We start from the raw sequence: 11176 nt of genomic DNA, 5'->3' as shown, positions 1-11176 counted from the left end.
GCTCTCTTCAGAGCCGTTAGGCAGGGAAGTTTAAGTCTGCTGAAGCTGCTCCCACAGCTGCCCCTTCCCCTGGGTGCTCTCTCCTAGAGTTATGGGATTTTTATCTATAAGCCCCTGACTGGGGCTGCTGCCTTTCCCTCAGAGATGCCCTCTCCAGAGAGGAGGAATCTAGAGAGACAGTCTGGCCAGAGTGGCCTTGCAGAGCTGCAGTGGGCTCCACCCAGTTCAAATTTCCTGGTGGCTTTTTTACACTGTGAGGCTAAAATCGCCTACTCAAGCCTCAGCAATTGCAGACGCCCCACCCCCACCAAGCTCGAGCATCCCAGGTCCATCTCAGACTGCTGTGCTGGTAGTGAGAATTTAAAGCCAGTGGATCTTAGTTTTCTGGTCTCCATTGGGGTGGGATCCACCGAGCCAGACCACTTGGCTCCCTGGCTTCAGCCCTCTTACCAGGGGCATTAATAGTTCTGTCTCGCTGGAGTTCCAGGCACCACTGGGGTATGGAAAATAAAACTTTTCCAGCTAGCTTGGTGTCTTCCCAAACAGCTGCCCAGTTTTCTGCTTGAAATCCAGGGCCCTGGTGGCATAGGCACTGGAGGGAATTTCCTGGTCTGTGGGTTGCGAAGACCATGGGAACAGTGTAGTATCTGGGCCGGAGTGCACCATTCCTCATGACACAGTCCCTCATGGCTTCCCTTGTGTAGGGGAGAGAATTCCCTGACCCCTTGTGCTTTCTGGGTGAGGTGACATCCCACCCTGCTTCGGCTCACCCTCTGTGGGCTGCACCCACTGTCCAACCAGTCCCAATGAGATGAACTGGGTAACTCAGTTGGAAATGCAGAAATCACCCACCTTCTGAGTTAATCTCACTAGGAACTGCAGACCAGAGCTGTTCCTATTCGGCCATCTTGCCAGCAATCTGGGAAAAACAATATAATATTTTCTACGGTCAGATTGCATGTGTGTGTGTGTGTGTGTTCCATATAAGCTGGAACACACACACACACACACAAACCTGACACCAAAAGTTTTCAGTGGGGAAGAAAATAGAACGGGAATGATTTTTCTCTTTCTCTATCACCATGATTGTTCCCCACTGTTTGTCTTAGCTTTTCCCCATCACTCTCAGTCTCTCTTTCACTCTAAGTTTTTCTCTCTATCTTTCTGTCTCTCTGTGTATATCTGCCTCCCACTCTATTTATTTGTATATATCTCTCTCAGTCTCTCAGTTTCAATCATACTTTCTCTCAATTTCCCCCTCTGGATGTGTATATATGTATATGTGTGTGTGTCACTGTTTCTTGATTTCTCTTTTTTTCACATTCCATCATTGTCACTCATTGTATCTCTTTCTCTCTTCTTTCTCTGTGTATGAATATGTTTATCTCCCTCTCTGTATGTTTATGTGCCTCTCACTGTGTGTCTCTATATATGAGTGTGCATCTATTTATGTCTGTGTTTGTGTCTTTGTGTGTTTATCTCTTTCCATGGGTGTCTCTGTCTCTTTCTCACACCACACTTACTCACTAGGCCTGTCTCCTAGGCCTATCTCCTAGCCATAGAGGAAACAAAGCAATATATTCTGGAACACTGCACCGATTCAGAAAGAAGTGCAGTAAAGTGGAAGCTTGCTAGATAAGCATAGGAACACCTTTCACCCTCATTCTGCTTGTTCAACTCTCAAGACAATGATGGTCTAAATGCAAATTGCTACTGAGGTTTTTTCCAAGGCCATTATTTTTAAATAAGTCAGCAGAGCTATCCTTAAATATTGGACAAAGATGAGGATGCTTACAAAGTATGATTTGAGAAAGCCCACACACAGCAAAATTTGCCGTAATTCTGTCATGCTATCTTTAGTGACTCATTTCATTAGCTTCAACATTGCCTCCTTCTGACTTTTCTCTTTGAAAATGCAAATGTTCTCAATGAGATATTAGTGGCTTATGAGAGGCAGAAGTTTCTTCTGACTACCTAGAATGGTGTGTGCATGCATGTGTTATATGTGTTTGTGTGTGTGTGTGTGTGTTATTGGAGGTGAAAGAGAATAGAAAATGGAAATAAAGAAAATTAAAGAAAAAATAGGAGATCCACTATCATTCACTGGGCAAACTTGGCCAAGTCACTTAGTTTCTGTAGACTTCAGTCAGAAAATGTAGGGAAGTAGTGATAAGGGAGTGGATTAGGTAGGCTTCAAGCCCCTCAACCCCGACTTTAATTAGAAACTCACCCCTATTACCAGGTCTCTGTATTGAGTTTTCAAACAAGATTTTGATTGAAGAAATTTAAAGAAAATAAGTTTGGAAAAAATTACTGGACTAGGTAAACTCTAAGTTCCCTTTCTACTCAGAATGTCTCTGATTCTAATCCTAAAGCCCAAGCATAGGACTACCTCCAGAAATTAGATATAGCTCATTTAAGAAAATGTATAGTAAAAGGGGATGCCAAATAATTTCATTGGTCAGTAATTCTTCAATTTGTATACTTAACTACCTTTGTTGTACTCTTTTATAAATTCCTTTGGTCATTTGACAGATTTATCCATGCTTTCTTGTAAGCATAAATTTGTAAACAAAATCCCATTTTCCTGTTGATTTACATTTTAGAGTCTAAAGTGAATATACCCACAGAAAAGATAAGAGCCTCAATATGAACAAAAACACACTTAGAATGCAGCTTAGCTTCATTTTAAAGCAGAAAACAAAAGAACAAATATTTTTCTGAAAAATATTAGTCTGTGTCTGCATCACATACAATTTGATTATGCCACCATTAAAATATCATGTTAATTTGGCATTTGGGGGAATAAAGGGGGGCACCTGGACATGGTCATCTTCCTAAAGTGTAAAATAGAAATCATATTCTCACCTCCAACAGTCCATAGGACATTTCCCTTTGAAATTTGAAGGCAACGGCTTTCATCTGACTTTGCCTTGAAAGTTGCCAGGTATGCATCACTATTATTGAATCCAGTAGCTTCACCCCATTCAGTAGACTCTGCTAATGAATCCTTGTGTTCTTTCCCATGCATGGTGTTTGTATGAGCTGAAAAGCATAAAAATTCAGAATAGTTGTTGGAAATAGCTTCATGACCCTGTTCAGCATTTCAAGTGACTTTCCAATAAAGTTCCCTTTAAATGTACTTCTAATGGTTTGTAAATAAAAGCTGTTCCCTTATCTCCCCAGCTTTGGCCTGCTGAACAATGTCAAGGAATCTTTCTATGAATCATTTGGGGTAAAGCTGAAGAATCTAATAATTGTAAGAAGTAGTCTCTAATTTGTGGCTTTTAGGAAATGTAGTTTCACATCAATTGACTCTTCCTGTAGCTGAAGAAAATCCCCAGAAATTCATATAGTTTCATAATAAGGCACATCTGTATTCTGAGTGCCTGAAAAGCCCTCTAAGATGCAAGCCAAAATATAATGCAGTGTTTCTTTTTACCAACTACTCACATGTCTCCACATTGTCAGGGATTGGGGGGCCAGGATGCATGATAATTCAGCAATCCTGCCCTCCTAATGATTCAGAGAGACCTTGGTAGAACACAGCAGCTATCTCTTTCCATTGCTGTTTAGTTGTCCAGGGAAAAATATTGCTGAGCTGTAAGAAAGATAAAATGAGGGAAGACTAGTTTGATTTGGTGGAAAATGTTAATGATAAGCTATTTGAAAATAAAATAAGTATTTTTTCAAAATTTTCATACATAATAAGGTGAAACAGGCTAACCAAGGGCTTCCTAATAGGACTTCCTCCAGGGATCTGCTTTCAAATACTGGTAGGAAGTTTAGCTAATTAGCTTAACAATTATAAATAAATGAAGGGAGTACTTTTAAAGTATTGAACAATGCATGGAAATTTTAAAGAATTTTATAAATCTTTGCAGGAAAAATTTGTTTACCATTGTAATTAGCTTGGCAAATTGGCTTCTTAGAGTATAAAAATAAAGTAGGCTGGTTCCTTGATTTTCACCAATTCCAAATTAATGGATTCCAAACTAAGGTCATTTGACTACATGCTGCCCAGCTTGTGTTCATTCAGTTCTTTCCCCTACACCTCTGCATCCCCACCCATAACTAATGTAACCCCAACAGGGTATTTTTTTCATTAATAGTAACTCTTGCATAGAAAGAAATTAGAGAAATGAGTATTTGTTGTTGGTGTTGTTCACCGTTACTCCTTCTGGAAATTGATTGAACAAAGCACTCTTCCTCTAGGCCACGTGACATAAGAAAGTGGGTTTGAAATACTGGACCCTTCTAATGAGATTGTACCTATATCTATGATGAAAAAGTTCTCTTCACAAGCTTATTGTGTACACAAGAGAAATATTAGCCTACTTCAGTGTGAAAACCTCAGCAGCAGCATTTGTATCCCCAAACTGAATGTCCTAATTATAAATGAGCCATGTCTATTTGTCAAACCACTTACAGATCTCTGAGATGTATAGCTTTGCCTTTTATCCTCTTGTCTCAGTCATTGGGATTACTTTATGTACTTGAAAGTAATGAGATTGCATTTTCCTCTCCAAATATCCTATCACTCATACTTTTCATTTAAGGCAGACTGACCTTTCCCCCCAATTAGAACAAATTAGTGACGTTTTACTTCATCTCAAAACCACTGAGCCATTGTAAGGGCAGAGTCGATGATGGGGCCCTAATGGGGCCTTGAAAGATGAGCAGGAGAAAAAGGAACAGAGAAAGCAGGACTAAAAGAAGTAGGGGTAGGGATTCAAGGGATGGTGAAGAGGGCAGGTGGTAGTAGTAGTGTGTAGGACTCAAAGGAAAGTAAAGTAAATGAGGGTGGGGTGACCTGGAGACAAAGGAGAAAAGCCTAGGGATTGCAGAGCAGGTAGGGTGTTAAGACTGCAAAAGAAGAAAAACAGACAGACAGGTTGTGAGGTACATTGAGCCTCAGAATGGGAGGACACAGGAAGAGTAGTGAAGGGGCTGCCCCATCTGCTTATAAGTGACTCATTTGCTCCTGCTCTAAGCAGGACAAAGCTCTAGCTTACTAACTGGCTGTCAGTATTTCTGTCTTACTGCCTTTTCTCTTTCATTAATAATAGTCATACATTAGGATAAATAGGTAGATAAGAGGTTGCCCAAGGAGCAATAGTTTTGTTAAAAAAACAAAGGATGGTATCAGAGTCAGACAGTTTTATATTAGATTTACTGTGAAGTCTGGCAAGCTATCTAATTTCTCAGAGTTTCACTATCCATATTCATAATTAAGGGCAAAAAATGCTACTCTCTAATGTTGTGGCTAGTATCAAATTAAATCTTGTATAGGCAAGGGCCAAGCACAGGGTCTGGCATGTAGTAAAGGCATAATAAGTTAGCCCTGGATACTCGCAACAACTTTTACAGATAATACAAAACCATGTGTAGCCCTTCATTGGTACTGTCAGATAAAAATTATAGGAGTCCATTGTTTTGGACTAAGCTTCTGCACTATGCCCCAACGGACCAGACTAAAAACAAAATGGAGTCACCCACGCTAAAGTTCCACATTACCAAACACGAACTAAGTTGTTATCTGACTTTCCCAGAAATCAGGAGAAAGAGGTAACTGCCAGTTTCACACACAAGCCAGTTTAAATCTTCAATTGGCATCATGATGAAGTTCCCTCTCCTTTTATCCTTACCAAAAACAGGGTAGCTTGAAGTAATCAATGTTAACTAATCAGTTATTTTTCTACTCTTCTGTCTCCCTGTCCTCATCTTATAAGAAATGCATCTTTGAAATAACTATTACTCTTGTTCTTTCCTTCTGTTTTCTTCAGCCCTTCTCCATCTATAAACTTCTTCTCTTCATCTTATTTGAACACTTACTCTATTTTATGAATTAATGTCACCCAATTCTAAGATCATAAATAAAGCCAATTGAGATCTTTAAATGAAATTTGTTGTAATTTTTTCTTTTGACCCATCCGGAGGCCCTGAAGGGATGTGAAAGAGACTGCTGAAGACCTGAGACCCCTTGAGGAACACAGGAAAAGGCACTGCTAAACCCATTTTCTGGAGGGCATACTCTGTCTTCCTCTTGGATCCCCAAGAGTTTTGAGTAAGTTTCTCTCAGATCTGAGCTCTGCTCTCTTTTGCATTTGAGCTCTTTGATATACTCAGCTTTGAGTGTACTAAGTCTAGTTTGTGCTGTGAGAGAGTATTTGATTTTGTGATACCTAGGATTAGTTTGTGCTGTGGCAGGGCACATGACTTTTGGATTTGTGGTGGCTGACAAGTCACTGGCAATGGCTGCATATTTTGCTGTCTCTTTGGAGATGTCTTCTGTATGGTTCCATAAAAGGTTTGAGTTAAGCTCGTAAGAATATGGCTGGACAGAAATGTAGGTTGCACCCAAATTTCGGCTGGCATATGGCCAAACAGAAATTTGGATTGCACTCCATTTGCAGATAGAGTAAAGGACTGCAGTTTTAAAGGTAACTGACAGCAGTTGCAGTAAGTGGTTATTACTGTATGGGGCATAAAGTCTGGCTTTTGGAATTTGCAGATATGTGGGATCTTTTTTCTTGCAGGCTTACTTAAGGGAGGCCTCAGATATCTGACTGCTCAGACAGAAACTGGAAAATCATTGGTGAAGTTGGTAAAGAAGATCTTAGATCTAAAGTCATTTGGGGTCTGAGAGACCCGAGATCAAAATAAAAATGAGATTTTTAATTTTGAAAGATCTGAGTACTCCATCTTCCATTAGACTTGCCCCTGTTTTTGTGTATAAGATTTCTGGCCTTGGAAGCTACAAATATTTATGAAACTGGCAAAATCTTCCAAAAGATAATTAAGAATTACCATGGCCATTATGTGGAACATTCCAGATGAACAAGTCTGTAAGAAGAGCACTTGAATCCCAAGCCTCCCAAATTACACAGAAAGAACAGGATTCTTGTTGGCATTCAGAAGCTTCAAAGAGACAATAGAATTTTAACATAGTTTTTTAAAAAAGATTCATTGCAAAAACCTAATAAAAAGCTAAAAATGCAAGGTATTTACCATACGAAGGATGATAGAACTGACATGACTCCTACCACTCCCCTTTATCCTACTTTGCTTGAATATTCACAGTGTACTCCTGAATATTCACAGTCTACTCTCTGTCTGAATTTCCTTTCTTCTCTGAAAAAAACAAACATTTTTCTTATAAGACTAGAATTACCCCAAAATTGGAGACAATCCCCAAGTGACTTACAGTCCCCAGACAAAAATGGAGCTCAGGGCCATAATTTAAAAATACCCTAAAATTAAGGAAGACTTTCAAAAGTTATCTAAAGGATTCAGGGTCTTAATTATAACTTATGACCCATGATACTTGCTCTATACCAACTAATACACATGTTAGTGGGACCTGAGAAAGCCCAAAAGTGGATAAAAGAGGCAGAATATTATTCTCTTGAGAATGATAGCAAGGACCTGACAAGCCCTACTTGGTCTATTTATGGCCCAGGCAAAATCCAAAAGATCTTAAATAACCATTTGAAAGCCATTCCCAAAGTGTTTCAGTTCATGGCAACCAACAACCTAGAATAACTTTTAGGCCTGCCCCAGGGCACTTTTCCAATTAATGACCCCTAAAACACCAGTTTCCAAAAAATTGTTGCCATTCCTAGAAACAACTAGGACACTGAAAGAGGCATTGTCCCCAGAGATTTTGAGGAAAGCCCCTAAAAGAGGCTGCCCACCTTCTGATAATCTTTATGTTAACCACCAGGACCAAAGGTCCTCTGGGGGAAGCTCCAGTAAGTTTCTACCAGTTTTTCTTTGGCCTACTCATTAATGAGCTTCAAGTTGAAGTCTAGCTAAGAAACAAGAAAAGTTGAAAAGACTGCCTATCAAATTAAATGGTCTCCAAAAGACAACTTCCAGACAATTAGGTAGCTACTTTGAAACTCTTTGTAAAAGAAATTTACATCTGTATGGGAAATCTCCATTTGTAAGGGTATTTCCCTCTTTGCACCTAAACCACTAGAAACTTTTACAATAGTAAAGATATTGGACTTAAAGTTCACATAACAAACCTTACCTTTGTTTAAGGTACTTCTCTGATCATCTTGTCTTAATTTGACCTTTACATATGCCTTTCTTTTTCTTTTGGCAAATAACAGTGTTTAGATCTGAGTTCTACAAATTATTTAACTTGTTTCATCTGGGAAGGCATCCCTTTGAAAGTACAAATTCAGGGTTTCCTAGCTAGCAATTTCTTGGGGCAATGGAATAGGTGATTGAAAGAATGTCTAACATTCACATGCTGCAAAAATGGTTAACGGGGAAATAACATGAGATAAAAACTAGTTTTGTTTAATGTCTCATAGAACTTTCATGAATAGTTTAAACATAGTTATTAAAAACAAGTAAAATAGCTATAGATGTTTATAGATAAACTCTTCAAAGTTTCAAAAATATTTTTGGTAACTTGAAACCTTAAAGTGAAATTAAGTAATAGATACTCATTTTCATGGACGTCTGTGTGAAGAGACCACCAAACAGGCTTTGTGTGAGAAATAAAGCTTTTAATCACCTGGGTGCAGGCGGGCTGAGTCCGAAAAGAGAGTCAGCAAAGGGAGATAGGGGTGGGGCCGTTTTATAGGATTTGGGTAGGTAAAGGACAATTACAGTCAAAGGGGGGTTGTTCTCTGGCGGGCAGGAGTGGGGGTCACAAGGTGCTCAGTAGGGGAGATTTTTGAGCCAGGATGAGCCAGGAAAAGGACTTTTACAAGGTAATGTCATCACTTAAGGCAAGGACGGGCCATTTTCATTTCTTTTGTGGTGGAATGTCATCAGTTAAGGTGGGGCAGGGCATTTTCACTTCTTTTGTGATTCTTCAGTTACTTCAGGCCATCTGGGCGTATATGTGCTAGTCACCGGGGATGCGATGGCTTAGCTTGGGCTCAGAGGCCTGACATTCCTGCCTTCTTATATTAATAAGAAAAATAAAACAAAATAGTGTTGAAGTGTTGGGATGGTGAAAATTTTTGGGGGTGGTATGGAGAGAGCGAATGGGCAGTGTTTCTCAGGGCTGCTTCAAGCAGGATTAGGGGCGGCACGGGAATGTAGAGTGGGAGAGATTAAGCTGAAGGAAGATTTTGTGGTAAGGGGTGATATTGTGGGATTGTTAGAAGAAACATTTGTCATTTAGAATTATTGGTAATGGCCTGGATATGGTTTTGTATGAATTGAAAAACTAAATGGAATAAGAGAAGGAGAAAAACAGGTGTTAAAGGTCTAAGAATTGGGAGGACCTAGGACATCTAATTAGAGAGTGCCTAAGGAGGTTCAGCATAGTCCTGCCAGCAAAGATTATTTACTTTAAGAGTTAAGAGTGGCAGTTTGGGGATAGCACCAATATCAGCTGTGATGGCTTGGAGAAACAGTGTAAACCGGCAGTGTAAACAAAAGCAGGGCATGTATGAGTAGTTGAGAACGGTGAATAGGAGTATGACTAGACAGAAGATAGTAGGGATGACAAGTTTTTTGGAGCACAGTCCAAATTGGTCTGGTGTCTGGAATGAGACTGGGGCCTAATAAAAAGGAGTATCTATACAGGAGCTCAAATGGGCTGTACCCTGTAGCATTCTGAGGACAGGCCTGAATTCTGAGAAGGGAAAGTGGTAAAAGTATTGTCTAGTCCTTTTTAAGTTGGTGGCTGAGCTTGGTGAGGTGTGTTTTTAAAAGACTATTAGTCTGTTCTACTTTTCCTGAAGACTGAGGACTGTAAGGGATATAAAGGTTTCACTGAATACTTAGAGCCTGAAAAAATGCTTGGCTGATTTCACCAATAAAGGCCGGTCTGCTATGGGACTGTATAGAGGTGGGAAGGCCAAATCGAGGAATTATGTCTGACAGAAGGGAAGAAATGACCACGGTGGCCTTCTCAGACCCTGTAGGAAAGGCATCTACCTATCCAGTGAAAGTGTCTACCTAGACTAAGAGGTATTTTAGTTATCTGACTTGGGGCATGTTAAGTAAAGCTAATTTGCCAGTCCTGGGTGGGGGCAAATCCTCAAGCTTGATGTGTAGGGAAGGGAGGGGGCCTGAATAATCCCTGAGGATTAGTAGAATAGCAGATGGAACACTGAGAAGTTATTTCCTTGGGGATAGATTTCCACGATGGAAAGGAAATGAGAGGTTCTAAGAGGCGGGCTAGTGGCTTGTACTATAGCATAGTCTGCCTTTGCTGGTGTGTGGCAATTAGGCCTGGTGGAACTGCCATCAATAAATCAAGCGTGATCAGGGTGAGGAATGGGAAAGAAGGAAATATGGGGAAATGGGGTGAATGTCAGGTGGATCAGAGAGATACAGTCATGGGGGTCAGGTGTGGTATCAGGAATAATGTGGGAGGCCGGATTGAAGTCCGGGCCAGGAACAATGGTAATTGTGGGACTTAACAAAGAGTGAGTACAGCTGAAGGAGCCAGGGAGCAGAAAGTATATGCATCAGGTGTGAGGAAGAAAATAGATTTTGGAAGTTATGAGAAATGTAGAGAGTGAGTTGAACATAGTTTGTGATTTTTAGGGTCTCTAAAAGTATTAAAGCAGTGGCAGCCGCTGCACGCAGACATGAGGGCTAGGCTAAAACAGTAAGGTTAAGTTATTTGGACAGAAAGGCTACAGGGTGTGGTCCTGGCTCTTGTGTAAGAATTCTGACCGCACTAACCATGCCTAGGAAGGAAAGGAGTTGTTGTTTTGTAAAGAATTGAGGTTTGGGAGATTAATTGGACATGATCAGCAGGGAGAGCACGTGTGTTTTTATGAGAATTATGCTGAGATAGGTAACAGATGAGGATGAAACTTGGGCTTGACTGAAGTAATGGGGTCTGTCTGTGAAGCCTTGCGGCAGTACAGCCCAGGTAATTTGCTGAGCCTAATGGGTGTCAGGGTCAGTCTAAGTGAAAGCGAAGAGACGCTGGGATGAAGGGTGCAAAGGAATAGTAAAGAAAGCATGTTTGAGATCCAGAACAGAATAATGGGTTGTAGAGGGAGGTATTGAGGATAGGAGAGTATATGGATTTGGCACCATGGGGTGGATAGGCAAAACAATTTGGTTGATAAGGTGCAGATTCTGAACTAACCTGTAAGCCTTGTCTGGTTTTAGGACAGGTAAAATGGGGGAATGGTAAGGAGAGTTTATAGGCTTTAAAAGGCCATGCTGTAGCAGGCGAGTG

At 40.4% G+C, this 11176-nt stretch overlaps 2 annotated features.

The window, feature by feature from the left end:
- Positions 7560-8127: an enhancer, noted in NCBI's record as "OCT4-NANOG-H3K27ac hESC enhancer chrX:108427729-108428296 (GRCh37/hg19 assembly coordinates)". NCBI's record gives its function as "activates a minimal SCP1, AML or CMV promoter by ChIP-STARR-seq in naive H9 embryonic stem cells {active_cell/tissue: H9 hESC(naive)}" and the evidence as "EXISTENCE:reporter gene assay evidence [ECO:0000049][PMID:30033119]".
- Positions 8695-9262: an enhancer, noted in NCBI's record as "OCT4-NANOG-H3K27ac hESC enhancer chrX:108426594-108427161 (GRCh37/hg19 assembly coordinates)". NCBI's record gives its function as "activates a minimal SCP1, AML or CMV promoter by ChIP-STARR-seq in naive H9 embryonic stem cells {active_cell/tissue: H9 hESC(naive)}" and the evidence as "EXISTENCE:reporter gene assay evidence [ECO:0000049][PMID:30033119]".

Source organism: Homo sapiens, chromosome X (genome assembly GCF_000001405.40).
Source record: "Homo sapiens chromosome X, GRCh38.p14 Primary Assembly".
Taxonomy (NCBI): domain Eukaryota; kingdom Metazoa; phylum Chordata; class Mammalia; order Primates; family Hominidae; genus Homo; species Homo sapiens.
The sequence above is the reverse complement of the archived record's forward strand: the minus strand, read 5'-3'. Positions and strand labels throughout refer to the sequence as shown.